General features: G+C 44.9%; 1 protein-coding gene and 1 pseudogene across 1 annotated transcript in view, besides 4 other annotated features; both read right to left on the bottom strand.

Moving 5' to 3' along the window:
* ZNF90 (zinc finger protein 90) overlaps nucleotides 1-821 on the bottom strand; it is a 43,169-nt gene extending 42,348 nt beyond the window's left edge. Inside the window, exon 1 of the mRNA NM_007138.2 lies at nucleotides 686-821. Coding sequence (NP_009069.1) covers nucleotides 686-688 — 3 coding nt within the window. The 5' untranslated portion in view covers nucleotides 689-821. The remainder of the gene's footprint in view (nucleotides 1-685) is intronic.
* Nucleotides 399-878: an enhancer, noted in NCBI's record as "active region_14377". NCBI's record gives its function as "activates an Ori minimal core promoter by ATAC-STARR-seq in GM12878 lymphoblastoid cells {active_cell/tissue: GM12878}" and the evidence as "EXISTENCE:reporter gene assay evidence [ECO:0000049][PMID:35858748]".
* Nucleotides 9,350-10,095: an enhancer, noted in NCBI's record as "NANOG-H3K4me1 hESC enhancer chr19:20179535-20180280 (GRCh37/hg19 assembly coordinates)". NCBI's record gives its function as "activates a minimal SCP1, AML or CMV promoter by ChIP-STARR-seq in naive H9 embryonic stem cells {active_cell/tissue: H9 hESC(naive)}" and the evidence as "EXISTENCE:reporter gene assay evidence [ECO:0000049][PMID:30033119]".
* Nucleotides 10,430-11,018: an enhancer, noted in NCBI's record as "NANOG hESC enhancer chr19:20178612-20179200 (GRCh37/hg19 assembly coordinates)". NCBI's record gives its function as "activates a minimal SCP1, AML or CMV promoter by ChIP-STARR-seq in primed H9 embryonic stem cells {active_cell/tissue: H9 hESC(primed)}" and the evidence as "EXISTENCE:reporter gene assay evidence [ECO:0000049][PMID:30033119]".
* BNIP3P13 (BCL2 interacting protein 3 pseudogene 13) overlaps nucleotides 15,439-18,820 on the bottom strand; it is a 3,814-nt pseudogene continuing 432 nt past the window's right edge.
* Nucleotides 18,215-18,820: part of an enhancer, noted in NCBI's record as "OCT4-NANOG-H3K27ac hESC enhancer chr19:20170471-20171415 (GRCh37/hg19 assembly coordinates)", that runs on past the window's edge. NCBI's record gives its function as "activates a minimal SCP1, AML or CMV promoter by ChIP-STARR-seq in naive H9 embryonic stem cells {active_cell/tissue: H9 hESC(naive)}" and the evidence as "EXISTENCE:reporter gene assay evidence [ECO:0000049][PMID:30033119]".

Here is an 18,820-nt window from a genome sequence, read left to right as displayed (position 1 = left end):
AATGCAGTTCTGTTTTTGTTTTCCCTCCATTGGCTGGGGTCAGACCGCACAATCTAAGCTGATCCCGGTTGGCTTACACTCAAGCTTTTTCCAAATCGGGTAATGCGCGATTTGTGAGAAAAGGAGAAGGGAGAAGAAGGGGTAGGGGTGATTTACAACTTTTCCAACTTATGACCAGGAAGTTGCGTCTTTGAAGAAGAACTACGTTGTACTAACAACCCTTTACCTCAAGTGATCCGCTCGCCTCGACCTCCCAAAATGCTGGGATTACAGGCATGAACCACAGCGACCGGCCCCATAAGTTTTTAATAGGAGAAAAGAGAAACTGTCAACCCCATGGACCAAAGCTCTTCCCATTCATGAACCTGCACCCCGAGTCAGGATTCTCCCCCGAGAACCCTCCCGTGCTCCCTGCACAATCTGGGAGAGACGCAGCGCTGTGGGTGCAGAGCTGCCCAGAGAGGGCTCCAGGCCAGGGCAGGGAAGAGACAGGACGCCGCGGGGCCCGGCTGTCGGCGCTGTTGCCATCTTATGGCTGAAGGGGACTGAGGCCGAACTGGGCAAGGAGAAGTCGGTCGCAGATTGTGGAGCTGACTGCGGGGAGGCCTAAGTCCCGCCACAGCCACTTCCCATCGGTTCCAACCAGTCCCTCCCCTCTCTCGGAATGCTGGAAAGGCACTCTCACCATTTCTAGGCTTCCGGGGGTCCCTCAGCTGTGGATCTCCCAATACCTGCAGGTCACAGGGCCACAGAGGCTGGAGAAGAAGACACGAAGCAGCTAAGACCAGATTTGGAGCACCAGCTGCAGCAAGAGACAAATGGCCGCGCCAAACCCGAAAGCCTTCCTCTTCGCTCCAGCTGCCTGCATGATTGGACGGTTTCCAACCCAGCGTCCCTGATTGGATAATGCTTAAGGCCCCGCCTCCTCAGTCCCTGAGTGACAGAAGATGTGATCACATGCTGGGCTGAGTGAAGAAAGAGTCACAGCCTCAGCTGCAGCCTTTTCAGGCCGGGCTTCCTCCTTGAGCTGAGCCAGGCCCACCGGAGAGCATGGGAAAATTCTTTTTTACTCTTTCTCTTTTTGAATGTATTCAAAAGGTGAACAGAAGTATTTGGCTGTCATATTAATAATACAAAAAATTTTTGTTCAAGAGAAAACTTTTACTTTGGTAATAGTGTATTATCAATACGAAAGCTAATTTTAATAAAACCTTGTAAGTAAATCAAATTTGTCATTTTTGACCTCTCGAGACTTACATATACATCATATATATTTTGTAATCTAATGTAATTTTTTTAACTTTTTATATTTTATTTTTATCTACATTCTTTTTATTTTTTCAATTTGAAACAACTTTTAAGTAATTTCAAACTGTTATAGGAGACAGAAAGGAAATCATTTAGGGCCAGGCGCGGTGGCTCACGCCTGTAATTCCAGCACTTTGGGAAGCCAAAGAGGGCGAATCACTTGAGGTCAGGAGTTCAAGACCACCCTGGCCAACACGGTGAAACCCCATTTCTACTAAAAATACAAAACCTTACCTGGGCGTGCTGGTGCACACCTGTAGTCCCAGCTACACCGAAGGCTGAGGCAGGAGAATCTCTTGAACCTAGGAGGTGGAGGTTGTGTAACCGCCCAAGGAGTTTACCTTGCCCTTTGCCCAGACAAAACCAATTCATCAAGACAGGGGAATTTGTGGAGGAAAAGTTAAATATTTAATTTGAACTCAATTGAACGTGGACACAAACAATGGTCACCAAGTCCTGGAAGAGGTTGTGTGAGCCCCTTGAGGCGTTCATCCAGTGCTATTTTAGAGAAATCTCTATGTCAATCTATTCAATCTATTCCTATACATTCGTTATTGAAAAACAATAGACAAGGCCGGGCGCGGTGGCTCACGCCTGTAATCTCAGCACTTTGGGAGGCTGAGGCGGGCGGGTCACGAGGTCAGGAGATCAAGACCATGCTGGCTAACACGCTGAAACCCCGTCTCTACTAGAAATACAAAAAATTAGCCAGGCCTGGTGGCAGGCGCCTGTAGTCCCAGCTAGTCGGGAAGCTGAGGCAGGAGAATGGTGTGAACCTGGGAGGCGGAACTTGGAGTGAGCCGAGATCGCGCCACTGCACTCCAGCCTGGGCGACAGAGCGAGACTCCGTCTCAAAAAAAAAAAAAAAAAAGAAAGAAAGAAAAAGAAAAACAATAGACAATCACAAAAACAAGTTGACCTTTCTGTGTTCCTTGAGACCAGTCATGAAGGGCCCTGGTGACTAGGCCTCATGCTGAACAACTCGTTACAAAAAGAGCTAGGTTCCCAGACCGCGCAGAAGCGTCATTATACCTCTCCTGGTCTGTGCACCGATGGGTGGCCAACTCTGGAGCCCATCCTGTTGCTTTCCGGTCTGGTGGTGAATCCTCCATAGTCTGGTGTGGAGTCAAAGTTAAATAATAAATTTGTGCTAATTGAACGTGGACACAAACAATGGTCACCAAGTCCGGGAACAGGTTGTGTGAGCCCCTAGAGGCGTTCATCCAGCGCTGTTTCAGAGAAATCTGTATTTCAATCTATTCCTATACATTCGTTCTTGAAAAACAACAGACAATCCCAAAAACAAGTGACCTTTTTGTGTTTCTTCAGCTCAGTCGCGAAGGGTCCTCATGACTAAGCCTCGTGCCAAACAACTCATTACAAAAGAGCTAGGGTCCCAGACTGCGCCAAAGCTTCGTGACAGCTCTCCTCACCTGTGCACAATTGTTAGCTTGCTATTGGACTTTACTGGAAACAAAACACCTCTGCTTTAACCATGATGTCTTTATGAGGCCTAAATTTCCTGTTATGATTTAGGTCACGAGTTCCCTCAAAATCCACAGGAGGCCAAGATGTGTGGATCACGAGGTCAGAAGTTTGAGACCAGGCTGGCCAACATGATGAAACCCCATCTCTACTAAAAATACAAAAACTAGCCAGGTGTGGTGGCATGCATCTATAATCCCAGCTACTCAGGGGGCTGAGGCAGGAGAATCACTGGAATCCCAGGAGGCAGAGGTTGCAATGAGCTGAGGTCTCACCACTGCACTCCAGCCTATGTGACAGACTGAGACTCCATCTCAAAAACAAACAACCGAAAAACATAACCATTTCTGATGAAGAAAGGGGTGGGAGCAGCCAGTTAACTGAACTAGTAGACATCCTCTGAGCTCTTCGAAAGGAAGGAAGAAGGATTTGTCACTTGTATACCAACTCTTGCTCAGTAGCAAATGGTCTTACTACCTGGATGCCCCAATGACAACAAAACAAATGGTTAATTGGGAATAAAGAGGTATGGGGAAAACAATACTGGGAAGATACATGAATTCTGGTACACACTACCATTATCATTGTTTTCCTGTATTAATTAATTTATTTTTTTTGACACGGAGTCTAGCTCTGTCACCAGGCTGGAGTACAGTGGCTCAGTCTCGGGTCACCAGGCTTGAGTGCAGTGGCTGAGTCTCAGCTCACTGCAACCTCTGCCTCCCAGGTTCAAGTGATTCTCCTGCCTCAGCCTCCCGAGTAGCTGGGATTACAGGCATGCACCGCCACGCCCAGCTAATTTTTGTACTTCTCTAGTAGAGGCGGGGTTTCACTGTGTTCACCAGGGTGGTCTCAATCTCCTGACCTCGTGAACAACCCACCTCAGCCTCCCAAATTGGTAGAAGTACAGGCTTGGGCCACCACTCCTGGATCTGTTTTCCATGATGATGCTCATGCATCTCTGCTTTTCTTGACAGACTATTTAATCAGCAGGAAGATCGACAGGCCAAAATTTCCACCATAAATGCAAATTTGAATGTGGATGAATGGATTACAATGTGTTCAAGCCTTGCAATGAGAGGCATTATAGTGTTTGGTGGTATAATTGATGGTGATTACTGGGGAGAGTTAAAGGTTGTTTTATACAATACCACTCCAGATTCTTTTGCTATAAAACCACAAATGTGGGTTGCTCAATTATTAGTGGTACCTTGTCAACAATTAACCCCTGAGGAAATCTCTGTCCCAACAGAGGCTACATACAGAACTCGGGGATTCAGATCCACTGGTTCATGTAGCTTAAATCCTGGAGCCAATATATGGGTACAGCATCCATCAGATCCCACCCCTAAGTCTGGTGACCTTGTAGCTGTGAAAACAGAAAATGAAGGCATAGTACAATTTCCTAAAGATGAAAAACAATATGATGTTCCTATCCTTTTTTGTTATTACAGGGAATAATCTATCTACTAATGGTCAGCACCTGTGTCTTTGTGTCTGAGGCCAAGAATAAATTCATGAACTGGGTAGCCACCGCTGCAATAGAAGCCAATCACAGACAATGTTTTCTATACGTCGAGTTGCCAAAGGCCGCCAGGAATGGGCTACCTTGGAGAATCATCCTGACAACATTTCTGAATGGCTATGTAGTTACCAACGGGGTCACAACAACACTTGTAGTCCAACCTGTACTTCCTTTGACCACACTAAGCAATCTATCTTTGCCCAAGTCAGACAAAAGGTGAACTCCACATTCTCCTTTCATCAAAAGCCTTGGTATCCTGCCCAATATTCCTGGAATGGTATATTTTGGAAACCAGCTGTGCTGGTGCCTGGATTCCCTATAGCCCCCGCTTAGTCTGGAGGCCTTAAAAGGTTCCTCTAATATTACTCTGGGGTTTCTCCAGACAATTGTCAACACATACTCCAAATCAACATTGCCCCCAGTGAACCACAATCTCTTTCCTACTTTAATAATACATGAGTACACTGTGATTACAGTAGCTCCATTGCTGTCCCCTGGGGGAGCCCTCTGGGTATGCAGATCCTATGAGTGGTGATACCTGTCCCCACACTGGACAGGGAGATGAACTTGGGGATAGCCATTAATTCCATTCACCATCCGGGTTAATATTCCTCTCCCAAGTAATTTAGATACTTACAAACATCACTGGTTATGAATGTGCCAGCCTCCCTGGCCTCCCTGGTGGCAGTACCCTATCACAGTATTCTCCCCTGCCACTGGTACAATCCTGCTTCAGCAACAAACTAAAATATTAAGGTTATATGTAGAAAAAGCTCTTAATGATATTAGCACTAGACTTATGTTGTTACCAGATAAATTTGCTCAGCTGAGTACTGTTGTGTTGCAAAATCAAATGGCATTAGATATGCTTACCGCAGCCCAAGGAGGGATTTGTGCCATATTGCATGCTAAATGTGGTGTGTATATCCCTGGCAATTCTCACAATATGACTCTCCTTAGAAAGCCATGCTGGGTGTGGTTTTTATTAATTGTGCTTTTAATTCTCCTGTCCTTACCCTGTATCTGTAATCTATATCGACTATGCCTTCCCTATGTATCTGTAAGGGTATTTTCCTACAATTGAGTATCCAATTGAGGCCAAAGGTGGAGAAAAAGTTAAATTTGAATTGAATTGAATGTGGACACAAACGATGGTCACCAAGCCTGAGAATAGGTTCTGCGAGCCCCTTGATGCATTCATCTAGAGTTGTTTCAGAGAAATCTCGATTTCAATCTATTCCTTTATATTGTTATTGAAAAACAATAGCCAATTGCAAAAACAAGTTAACTTTTTGTGTTCCTTGAGCCCAGTCTCAAGGGCCCTCCACTGTGCCTCATGCCAAACAACTTGTTACAAAATGACCTAGAGCCCCAGAACGCACTAAAGCTTAAAGAGACCTCTCCTTGTCCTTGCATGGATGGGTGGCTGACTCTGGAGCCCAGGTTGTTGCATTCCGGTGTGGCGATGAATCCTCCATAGTCTGGTGAGTGTATATATATGTACATATATTTATGTGTGTATGTATATATATATTTATATGTGTGTATATATATATATTTATGTGTGTGTGTGTGTATATATATATATCTTTTTCCTTCTCCCCTTTCCATTGCAATTTTCTTATATCAATTTACTTGGCCGGGCGCGGTGGCTCACGCTTGTAATCCCAGCACTTTGGGAGGCCAACGCGGTCGGATCAGGAGGTCAGGAGATCGAGACCACGGTGAAACCCCGTCTCTACTAAAAATACAAAAAATCAGCCGGGCATGGTGGCACGTGCCTGTGGTCCCAGCTACTCAGAACGTTGAGGCAGGAGAATGGCGTGAACCCGGGAGGTGGAGCTTGCAGTGAGCCGAGATCGCGCCACTGCACTCCAGCCTGGGTGACAGAGTGAGACTCCGTCTCAAAAAAAAAAAAAAAATTTACTTATATCTGCATTGCCATTTATGTGGGATAAAGCTTGTTTACCCTTAAAGGTATTGTGTAGGTGTCTTTTCTTCTACCCTCATGTGTTTCCTTCACAGAACACCATATTTGTCAGAGGCTTTCTTTGTTCCTTTTTATTCTTTTTTCTTTAATCTTGTCTGCATGCCTTATTTTGACAAGGTGGTCTTCAAATACTGATATTCTTTCTTCTGCTTGGTCAGTTCGGCTACTGATACTTTTGTATGCTTCATGAAGTTCTCGTGCTGTGTTTTTCAGCTCCATCAGATCATTTATGTTCCTCTCCAAACTTGTTATTATAGTTAGCAGTTCCTCTAACCTTTTTTTTTTTTTTTTTTTTTGAGACGGAGTCTTGCTCTTTCGCCCAGTCTGGAGTGCAGTGGCGTGATCTCAGCTCACTGCAAGCTCCGCCTCCCGGGTTCACGCCATTCTCCTGCCTCTGCCTCCCGAGTAGCTGGGACTACAGGCTCCCGCCACCATGCCTGGCTAATTTTTTTTGTATTTTTTAGTAGTGACGGGGTTTCACCTTGTTAGCCAGGATGGTCTCCATCTCCTGACCTCGTGATCCGCCCGCCTCGGCCTCCCGGAGTGCTGGGATTACAGGCGTGAGCCACCGCGCCCGGCTCCTCTAACCTTTTATCAAGGTTCTTAGCTTCTTTATATTGGGTTAGAACATGTTCCTTTGGCTCAGCAGAGTTTTTTTATTACCCATCTTCTGAAGCCTACTTCTGTCAATTCCTGCATCTCATCCTCTGTCCAGTTCTGTACCCTTGCTGAAGAAACATTTTGATCATTTGGAGAAGAGGCACTCTAGCCTCTCAATGTTTTTTTGTTGATTCTTTCTCATCTTCATGAGTTTGTCTAGTTTTGATCTTTGAGGCTGCTGACCCTTGGATTTTTTTGTTTTGTTTTGTTTTGTTTGAGACAGAGTCTTGCTCTGTCACCCAGGCTGGAGTGCAGTGGCAGGATCTTGGCTCCCTGCAACTTCCGCCTCCAAGGTTCAAGTGATTCTCATGTCTCAGACTCCCAAGTAGCTGGGACAACAGGCGTGCACCACCACGCCTGGCTAATTTTTGTATTTTTTTTAGTAGAGACCAGGTTTCACCACGTTGGCCAGGCTGGTCTCAAACTCTTGACCTCAAGTGCTCTGCCCGCCTCAACCTCCCAAAGTATTTGGATTATGGTGTGAGCCACCATGTGCAGCCTTGGGTGGGATTTTTCTGGGTATATTTTTTTCTTGTTGATGCTGTTGTTGCTGCTTTCTGTTTGTTTGTTTTTCATTCAGTGGTCAGGTCCCTCTTCTGTAGGGTTGCTGCACCTTGCTAGGGGTTCACCTCAGGCCCTATTCATCTGGTTCACTCCAGTGCCTGGAGAGGTCACTCAAGGAGGCTGCAGAGCAGTAAAGAAGAGTGTCTGCACCTTCCTCTGGGATCTCTGACCTCAAGAGGCACCAACCTGAAGCCAGTAGGATCACTCCTGTATAGGGTGCCTGACAACCCCTGTTGAGGGGTCTCATCCAGTGCATGGGGAGAAGAACCCTTTTAATGAAGCACTTTGACTGTCGTTTGGTGGAGGAGGAGTGTTTTGCTGGGGGCAAATACACTCATCTGAGCTGCTGGAAATGCTCAGAACTAGCAGGAGGAAAGGCTAAGTCTGCTTGTCCACAGAGACTGCAGCCACCCCTCCCCCTAGGGTTCTGCTCTGATATTTGTTATTTCTTTTCTTATGCTGGGTTTGGGTTTGGCTTGTTCTTGTTTCTCTAGTTCCTTGAAGTGTTATTTTAGATTGTCTACTTATGCTCTTTCAGACTTTTTGATGTAGGCACTTGATGCTATGAACTTTCCTTTTAACGCCACTTTTGGTGTATCCCAGACATTTTGATAGATTGTGTCATTATTATCATTCAGCTCAATTAATTTTTAAATTTCCATCTTGATTTCATACAAAAAAATTCAGAAACAGGTTGATCCTAAATTTTATTTTTCATTTAATTTCCGTGTATTTGCATGGTTGTGAGGGTGCATTTGAAGTTGATTTTCACTTTTATTCCATTGTTGTCTGAGAGAGTAGTTGATATAATTTTGATTGTCTTAAATGTATTGAGACTTGTTTTGTGGCCTATCATATGTCTATCTTGGAGAATGTTTCATGTTCTGAGGAATAAAATGTATATTCTGTAGTTGTTGGGTAGAATGTTCTGTAAATATTTTTCAAGTCCATTTGTTCTAGGCTATAGCTTAAGTCTATTGTTTTTTTGTTGTTGTTGTTGACTTTCTGTCTTGATGACTTGTCTAGTGCTGTCAGTAGAGTATTGAAGTTCCCCATTATCATTGTATTGACATTGATCTCATTTCTTAGGTCTAGTAGTAATTGTTTAATAAATTGGGAGCTCCAGTGTTAGGTCCACATATATTTAGAATTGTGATAGTTTCCTGTCCCTTTATCATTATATAATGTCCCTCTTTGTCTTTCTTTTAACCGTTTTTGTTTCAATATCTGTTTTGTCTGATGTAAGAATGGCGACTACTGCTTGCTCTTAAGGTACATTTGCATGATTATCTTTTTCCAACCCTTTGCCTTAAGTTTATGTGAGTCTTTATGTGTTGGGTGAGTCTCTTTTTTTTTTTTTTTTTTTGAGACGGAGTCTCGCTCTGTCGCCCAGGCGGGACTGCGGACTGCAGTGGCGCAATCTCGGCTCACTGCAAGCTCCGCTTCCCGGGTTCACGCCATTCTCCTGCCTCAGCCTCCCGAGTAGCTGGGACTACAGGCGCCCGCCACCGCGCCCGGCTAATTTTTTTTGTATTTTTAGTAGAGACGGGGTTTCACCTTGTTAGCCAGGATGGTCTCGATCTCCTGACCTCATGATCCACCCGCCTCGGCCTCCCAAAGTGCTGGGATTACAGGCGTGAGCCACCGCGCCCGGCCGAGTCTCTTGATGATAGCAGATATTTGGTTGGTAAATTCTTATCCATTCTACCATTCTGTATCTTTTAAGTGGCACATTTAGGCCACTAATCGCTATAAATTATACCACCATCCATTATAATGCCTGTCATTGCAAGGCTTGAAACACGTTGTAATCCATTCATCTGCATTCAAGTTTGCAGTTATAATAAAAATTTTGGCCTGTTGATTTTCCTGGTGATTAAATAGTCTGTCAAGAGAAAGCAGAGATGCATGGGCATCAACATGGAAGACAGCAATAATGGTAGTGTGTGCCAGGATTCAGACATCTTCCCAGTATTGTTTTCCCCAAACCTCTTTATTCCCAATTAACAATTTGTTTCATTACCATTGGAGCATCCAGGTAGTAAGACCATTTGCTACTGATAAAGTGTTGGTATACAAGTTGTCAGGCCTCTGAGCCCAAGCTAAGCCATCATATCCCCTGTGACCTGTACACATCCAGATGGCCTGTTCCTGCCTTAACTGATGACATTCCACCACAAAAGAAGTGAAAATGGCCCATTCCTGCCTTAACTGATGACATTGTCTTGTGAAATTCCTTCTCCTGGCTCACCCTGTCTCAAAAGCTCCCCTACTGAGCACCTTGTGACCCCCACTCTGCCCACCAGAGAACAACCCCCCTTTGACTGTAATTTATCTACCCAAATCCTATAAAATGTCCCCACCCTTATCTCCCTTCGCTGACTCTCTTTTTGGACTCAGCCTGCCTGTACCCAGGTGATTAAAAGCTTTTATTGCTCACACAAAGACTGTTTGGTGGTCTCTTCACACGGACGCGCATGAAAAAAGTGACAAATCCCTCTGGCTTCCTCCTGTATAGCTCAGAGGATGGCTACTAGTTCAGCTAACTTGCTGCTCCCACCCCTTCTTTCATCAGAAGTGCTTACCTTTTTAACAGGGTTATAAGCCACAGCCTTCCAGCATCGGGTCCCACCAATGTATTTGGTGGATCCATCATAAATCAAGCATGTTTCTGATCCTCTAGGCTTAGTTCTTTTGTTGTACCTGAGCGAGTTAGAAATCGCCACACTTTGAGACAAATTCAAGAGTCCTTTATTAGCCGGCGACCGAGAGATGGCTGACGCACGAAATTCTCTCAGCCCCGAAGAAGGGGCTAGATTTTCTTTTATACTTGGGTTTACAGAGGGGAGGGGGAATTCTAGCTGCAGCAATCTTACAGAAGAAAAACAGACAAAAAAAGTTAAAAAGATAAATGGTTACAGGAAAACAAACAGTTCCAGGTGCAGGGGCTTTTATTTCATCACAAAGTGATAGGTGCGGGGGCTCTGCGTGTTATCTACCGGACAAAATGCGGGGGCTTTATGGCACCATCTCCGAGCAAATTCCAGCGGACTTCGCTTGCCTCAGCACCTTATCAGTTAATTGCACTCTTTGATATATTGAGAGTCAGCTTGCACAAGTTAAGTCCTTGAGGAAAGGGGCTGGGTAAGGAGCACTTGATGTCTTGTAAATGAAGGAGCCAAATGGAGTTCTTCCGGTTCTCTCAGCTAAGGGAGAGTCTATTCATGTTAAAAACAAGGTTAGGTATCTAAGGGAAAGTCTATTCGTGTTAATACAAGATTGGGCTTTACACTTTAAAGGAGTTGCCCCATTGGGTGGGGGAGGTTTCCTTCCCTACCTGCAGGACTTCCTTGGTGATCTCCCGAGCTGGCAAGTTTTGCACATCCTCATGTAAAAATGATACGCTTTGGCTTTGGCTTAGCATGCTCTTGTACATACCATTTCCATTCTATGATGCTACTTTCTTGGGCATGCCCTATCTGGTGAGTTTTGGGGGAACCCATGACTCAAGTCATAGTAGGAATTTCAGGCCTCATAAAGACATCATGGTTGAAGCAGAGGTGTTTCGTTTCCAGCAAAACCCAATAGCAAGCTAACAATTGCTTCTCGAAACGGGTATAAGCTTTGTCATCCTCTGGCAGTTTCTGGTTCCAAAACCTGAAAGGTACCCTCTTCCCATCTTGCTTCTGCCTAAGGCTCCAATTAGCATGTTGATTTAGGACAGTTACTTGCAGTTCTACTGGCCCACCCCGTACAGGTCATAGACCCAGGGCCAGTTGACCCACTTGTTTAGCTTGTTCAGAAGCCATGCTCTCTTTCTCTCCCCAAAGAAAGTCATAGCGTTTTCTAGTGGCTGCATGCAGAGGTTGTAAAATGTTACCCAAGTGAGGAATATCATGTCTCCAGAATCCAAACAAGCCAATACATTTCTGGGCCTCCTTTTTAGTGGTAGGGGTTGCAAATTCTAGTATTTTAGCCTTGGCCTTTGGTAAAATGGACTATTTCCCTGCATTCCATAGAATGCCGAGGAATTTTACAGTTTGTGCTTGTCCTTGAATTTTACTAAGGTTAATTTCCTATCCTTGAGATAAGAGCTGGGTTTTTACCTGCTCCAGGCCCCAGCTGATTAGTTCTTCAATTTTACCCTGATAAGACCATTGGGACAGCTGCTTTTTTCATCAATAGGCTGATATCTTTGAGCCTGATCAGTCAAGACATAGGCCTGGCTTTGGGCCAGGGTCAGTCTGGAAGTCGGATTAGCATTTTTTTTTCCAGCTTACCTTTTCTCTTGTAGCAACCAGCCCCTATCTTGATACATTAACTTATAAGCAGTAAGCAAACACCATCCACTCCGGGAGATCCCTCAGCATCTCCTTTGCTCACTGGAATCCCCTGCAGCACTTCCCGCACAGTCAAAGGTTTAAATTGCACTAATTTAGATTCTCAGTTCCCACAAAGACCAGTTCCCCTTAACCATTCAGTCCCCAAAGGTGAGAACTGGGGGAGTTCCCATTCCTGGATATGGGAATTCCTCGAGTTTCCAGCTCTGTCATTGTGGCAAAAAAGTGGCAGTTTGGTTTTCAAATCCTGTTTGTGATGCCAAAAATGTTCTGTGTGGGAAACGCGCAAGGGGAGAAGAAAAGACACACACACAATACCTTTAAAGGTCAACAAGCTTTATCCTACATAAATGGAAATGCAGATATAATAAGCAAATGAGATAAGCAAATCAATGAAATAAGCAGATTGATACAATAAGCAAATTGCAATGGAAAGAGGAGAAGGGAAAAGAGATATATATATTATGCTCGCCAGACTATGGAGGATTCACCACCAGAGTGGGAAGCAACAGTCTGGGCTCCAGAATCAGACACTCATCTATGCACAGATGAGGAGAGGTCTCATGAAGCTTGGGCACACTCTGGGACCCTAGCTCTTTGGTAATGAGTTGTTTGGCATAAGGCCCAGTCAAGAGAGTCGTTCATGATTGGGCTCAAGCAACACAAAAAAGTCAACTTGCTTTTGCAATTCTCTATTGTTTTTCAACAACTAATATATAGGAATAGATTGAGCCGGGCGCGGTGGCTCACGCCTGTAATCCCAGCACTTTGGGAGGCCGAGGCGGGCGGATCACGAGGTCAGGAGATCGAGACCATCCCGGCTAAAACGGTGAAACCCCGTCTCTACTAAAAATACAAAAAATTAGCCGGGCGTAGTGGCGGGCGCCTGTAGTCCCAGCTACTTGGGAGGCTGAGGCAGGAGAATGGAGTGAACCCGGGAGGCGGAGCTTGCAGTGAGCCGAGATCCCGCCACTGCACTCCAGCCTGGGTGACAGAGCGAGACTCCGTCTCAAAAAAAAAAAAAAAAAAGGAATAGATTGAAATAGAGATATCTCCAAAACAGTGCTGGATGAATGCATCAAGGGGCTCACACAACCTGTTCCAGGACTTGGTGACCATTGGTTGTGTCCATTTTCAATTGAGTTCAAATTTAATATTTAACTTTTCCTCCACAAATTTTCCTGTCTTGATGAATTGGCTCTGTCTAGGCAAAGGGCAAGGTGAACCCCTTGGGCAGTTACACTACTCTGCCTTCTGGGTTCAAGTGATTCTCCTGCCTCAGCCTCCATAGTAGCTGGGACTACAGGTATGCACCACCACACCCAGCTAATTTTTTTGTATTTTTAGTAGAAATGGGGTTTCACCATGTTGGCCAGGCTGGTCTTGAACTCCTGACCTCAAGTGATCTGCCCACCTCGGCCTCCTAAAATGTTGGGATTACAGGCGTGAGCCAGCACTCCCTAAATTTTGTGTGTGTGTGTGTGTGTTTTTAGCAGAGACAGGATTTCACCATGTTGTCCAGGCTGGTGGTGAACTCCTGACCTCAAGTGATCCATCCACCTGCCTCGGCCTCCCAAAAATGATTTCTTTCTATCTCCTATAACAGTTTGAAATTACTTAAAGGGTGTTTCAAATTGAAAAAATAAAAAGAATGGCTCTCCCTCTCCCTCTCCCTTTCCCTCTCCCCACGGTCTCCCTCTCCCTCTCTTTCCATGGTCTCCCTCTGATGCCGAGCAGAAGCTGGACTGTACTGCTGCCATCTCGGCTCACTGCACCTCCCTGCCTGATTCTCCTGCCTCAGCCTGCCAAGTGCCTGCGATTGCAGGCGCTCGCCACCACGCCTGACTGGTTTTCGTATTTTTTTTTTGGAGACGGGGTTTCGCTGTGTTGGCCGGGCTGGTCTCCAGCTCCTCACCGCGAGTGATCCGCCAGCCTCGGCCTCCCGAGGTGTCTGGATTGCAGACGGAGTCTCGTTCACTCAGTGCTCAATGGTGCCCAGGCTGGAGTGCAGTGGCGTGATCTCGGCTGGCTACAACCTCCACCTCCCAGCCGCCTGCCTTGGCCTCCCAAAGTGCCGAGATTGCAGCCTCTGCCCGGCCGCCACTCCGTCTGGGAAGTGAGGAGCGTCTCTGCCTGGCCGCCCATCGTCTGGCATGTGAGGAGCCCCTCTGCCTGGCTGCCCAGTCTGGAAAGTGAGGAGCATCTCTGCCCGGCCGTCATCCCATCTAGGAAGTGAGGAGCGTCTCTGCCCGGCCGCCCATCATCTGAGATGTGGGGAGCGCCTCTGCCCCGCCACCCCATCTGGGATGCGAGGAGCGCCTCTGCTCGGCCGCCCCGTCTGAGAAGTGAGGAGACCCTCCGCCTGGCAGCCGCCCCGTCTGAGAAGTGAGGAGCCCCTCCGCCCGGCAGCCACCCCGTCTGGGAAGTGAGGAGCGTCTCTGCCCGGCAGCCACCCCATCCGGGAGGGAGGTGGGGGTCAGCCCCCACCAGGCCAGCCGCCCTGTCCGGGAGGTGAGGGGCGCCTCTGCCCGGCCGCCCCTACTGGGAAGTGAGGAGCCCCTCTGCCCGGCCACCACCCCGTCTGGGAGGTGTACCCAACAGCTCATTGAGAACAGGCCATGATCACAAGGTTGGTTTTGTGGAATAGAAAAGGGGGAAAGGTGGGGAAAAGATTGAGAAATCGGATGGTGGCTGTGTCTGTGTAGAAAGAAGTAGACATGGGAGACTTTTCATCTTGTTCTGTACTAAGAAAAATTCTTCGGCCGGGCGTGGTGGCTCACGCCTGTAATCCCAGCACTTTGGGAGGCCGAGGCGGGTGGATCATGAGGTCAGGAGATCGAGACCATCCTGGGTAACACAGTGAAACCCCGTCTCTACTAAAAATACAAAAAATTAGCCGGGAGCGGTGGCGGGCTCCTGTAGTCCCAGCTACTTGAGAGGCTGAGGCAGGAGAATGGCGTGAACCCAGGAGGCGGAGCTTGCAGTGAGCCGAGATTGCGCCACTGCACTCCAGCCTGGGCGACAGAGCCAGACGCTGTCTCAAAAAAAAAAAAAAAAAAAAAAAAAAAAAAATTCTTCTGCCTTGGGATCCTGTTGATCTATGACCTTACCCTCAACCCTGTGCTCTCTGAAACATGTGCTGTGTCCACTCAGGGTTAAATGGATTAAGGGCGGTGCAAGATGTGCTTTGTTAAACAGATGCTTGAAGGCAACATGCTGGTTAAGAGTCATCACCACTCCCTAATCTCAAGTACCCAGGGACACAAACACTGCGGAAGGCCGCAGGGTCCTCTGCCTAGGAAAACCAGAGACCTTTGTTCACTTGTTTATCTGCTGACCTTCCCTCCACTATTGTCCTATGACCCTGCCAAATCTCCCTCTGCGAGAAACACCCAAGAATGATCAATTAAAAAAAAAAAAAAAAGAAATAAAGCATTACAAATATAGTTTAAAAAAAAGAATATGGATAAAAATGAAATACAGACAAAAAATTACAAGAGATTACAAAATATATATGTAAATCTGGAGTGGTCAAAATTGACAAATTTTATTTATTTATAAAGTGTTATTAAAATTAGCTTTAGTATTGATAATGCACTATTACCAAAGTAAACGTTGTTGAATACATTCAAAAAGAGAGAGGGTAAAAAAGAGATAGAACCCCTATTCAATGGCTAGGAGATGAGAAAGCAGCAGAGATCGAAAAGAAACTTTATAAAATTCTTCTGAAATTCTGCCACCTTTCTTCATATTGCTCATGTTTCTCATGCTGAGAGTAGCTGTGCGGTTTGGGTGTTTAGACAGAAATTTCTTTTAAGGGAATATTTTCTGACTGACTTGATCAATCTCATATCTAATCTGAGCTTTTTCTTAAAATCTTTTTAACTTTCTTCTCTCAAAATAATCTCGCTCAGATGGAGATCTGTTTTTCTCTCCAATGCTTTGTCTGTTTCAGAAGCCCTGTTAGTATTAGTATCCCATGGTGTCTGAATGGGGTGGGCTGTCACAGTGAGAACTTTTGGAGCTATCTCTATCTGGACTCAGGCTGGAAATTCAGCAGTATTTTTTCCTTGTCACCATTATAAGTGGAAACTGAGGCTGAAACACTACTCCCATTTCCATTATTGTGAAGGTGTAATTCTACCCATGAGGCCTGCAGGCTCTCCTCCTGCAGCTCAGGCCTCACTCGCTCATGTGACACTAGAGTGCTGCTGTGGCAAATGGGGTTCACATAAAATGTGAGCTGTGCTGTTGGCTGTGCCTCAGTGGCAGATGGTAGAGGTGAATAGAGGACACTAGCAACCAGGAGAAAGCAAGCAGGAGTGCTGTAGCCAAGTGCCAGTGAGTACAGAGCCACTGCTCTAAAATGTAAATAGCCAAAAATATAGAATCCTACTGAAACTTTTTTGTAGCAGAGTGAAAGCCTACCTTCAGCAGGCACTTGGCTTCAAGCTGCAAAACTACCTCCTGTTATGAAGATGTGAAAAATTTATTTGTCATTGAATGTAAGTAATTAGCATACACAGGTGGCCTTTTCATTCTCCAGGTGAATTTAGGATGAACCCTGTATGACATGGTGCTGGAAATTCTTCTACTTGTGGACCAATTATGGTGACCATCCTTCTGTCTTTGTGAACTGTTAAGCAGATTGACTATGATGCATGTCACATTCAAGTTTAATTGTGTAATAAAACCATTTTCTTTCTCTTCTATTATTGTGGAGTTTCTCTGGGGCTGGATAAAATTTTTCTTTTTTGCTGTTTTCTTTTTTTTCTTGAGAAGGTCTCACTCTGTCACCCAGGCTAGAGTGCAGTGGTACAGGAGTGAGCCACCATGCCCAGCCCAATTTTTCTTTTAAGGATTGTTTGCAAACATTGTCTAGAATTACCAGACATGATATAAACACATAAGGTGTCAACCAGAATTTACTCTAGAGGAGAGTTTCCCTCTCAGGCTTCCAGTCATCTCATAGTTGTGTAGCACAGTGCATGCCATCCCCTAAATATGCAGGCAGAATTGTGTCTCTGCTGATTTGGTATCTATAGTCCTCTACAGTCACTTCTAGAGAGGCTAGACCACATTTCTCCAAGTTTCAGAGAGTAGCAATCAATTATTTTACCTCTTTCACTGACTCTTGTGTCTTTAGACCTGAAACTGATTCAGATACTATAAAGCCCAGAAACTTAATCAGAATAACATGTGTGCATTGAGTAGACATGTAGACATGAGAATCTCCACTTTCCCCTTCCTCCTCATGCTAAAATCCCAACAAACGTGCAGGTAACACCTGCTGCAACTCCAGCAATTCAGGCTCTAAATCTGTAGCTCCAAATTTTGAATTGAGGTCTTGAGATTTGGGAAATAAAAAACTTTTGTCTGAAAAATGGAAGTCTTTTTGTTATCAAGCTCAGACAGACATTAAAATAGAAGTACAGTTATGTCTTTCTCCCCTTTTGAACTATGTATTCATCTCTTGAAACTGTTCACTATTGGCACGAGTAGTATAAATTAAACTAATAATGCCACATTGGACACTATATCCCATACTGTAAACCATAAGGATATATATATGATATATGATATATATATGATATATGATATATATCTAATCAATAATCAATGTTATTTCTGTAAATAAATAAAAAAATTTTCTTTTTTTTTTTGAGATGGAATCTCACTCTGTCACTCAGGCTGGAGTGCAGTGGTGCAATCTCGGCTCACTACAACCTCTGCCTCCCGGGTTCAAGCGACTCTCCTGCCTCAGCCTCCCAAGTAGTTGACACTACAGGCACGCACCACCATGCCTGGCTAATTTTTCTATTTTTAGTAGAGACGGGGTTTCACCATATTGGCCAGGCTTGTCTCAAACCCCTGACCTCAGGTGATCCACCCACCTCGGCCTCCCAAAGTGCCGGAATTACACGCATAAACCACCGTGCCCAGGCTCTGCATTAGTTTTCTAAGAATAATGATCTCCAGCTTTATCGATGTTATTGCATCAATGAAGATGGGAAAAGTTTATTTGTCATTGAATATAAGCAATTAGCATACACAAATGGCCTCATCATTCTCCAGGTGAATTTAGCATGAACTATGTATGACATGGTGCTGTAAATTCTTCTACTTGTGGACTAATTATGGTGACCATCTTTATGTTTTTGCGATCTGTTAAGCAGACTGATGATGATGCATGTCACATTCAAGTTTAATTGTGTAATAAAACCATTTTCTTTCTGTTCTATTATTGTGGAGTTTCTCTGGGGATGGAGAATATTTTTCTTTTAATTAATGTTTCCAAACACTGTCTAGAATTACCAGACATGATGTACACACAGAAGGTGCCAACCAGAATGTACTCTAAAAGGGACTTTCTCTCTGAGGATTCTAGTCAACTGACAGTTGTGTAGCACAGTGCATGCTGTTCCCTAAATATGCAGACAGAATTGTGTATCTGCCTAGTTGGTACTTACAGTCCTCTACAGTCACTTCTAGAGAGGCTAAATCACATTTCTACGAACTTCAAACTCAGAGAGAGTTAAAAGAAAGTGTAGTTATGTATTTCTCCCCCCTTTGAACTATATATTCATCTCTTGAAACTGTTCACTATTGGCACAGGTAGGTAAAAATTAAACTAATAATGCCACATTGGACACTATATCCCATACCCTAAACCATAATGATATATATCTAATTAATAATCAATGTTATTTCTGTAAATAAATAACAATTTCTGACAATCAACTTTGTATCAGCCCACTCTCTGTTCCTCTCTTGTTGTCTTTACAAATCTTCCTGTAACTGCTGCTGATCACAGTAGAGGTTTCAGACAACTTGAATCTTTGCTCTCAGGTTGTAATCCATAAACTTGACCCAAATAAACTGTGTACTTTTCATGCACGTCCATGTGAAGAGACCACCAAACAGGTTTTGTGTGAGCAATAACAGCTT

This window comes from Homo sapiens, chromosome 19, assembly GCF_000001405.40.
Source record: "Homo sapiens chromosome 19, GRCh38.p14 Primary Assembly".
NCBI classification, from domain to species: Eukaryota; Metazoa; Chordata; class Mammalia; order Primates; family Hominidae; genus Homo; species Homo sapiens.
The sequence above is the reverse complement of the archived record's forward strand: the minus strand, read 5'-3'. Positions and strand labels throughout refer to the sequence as shown.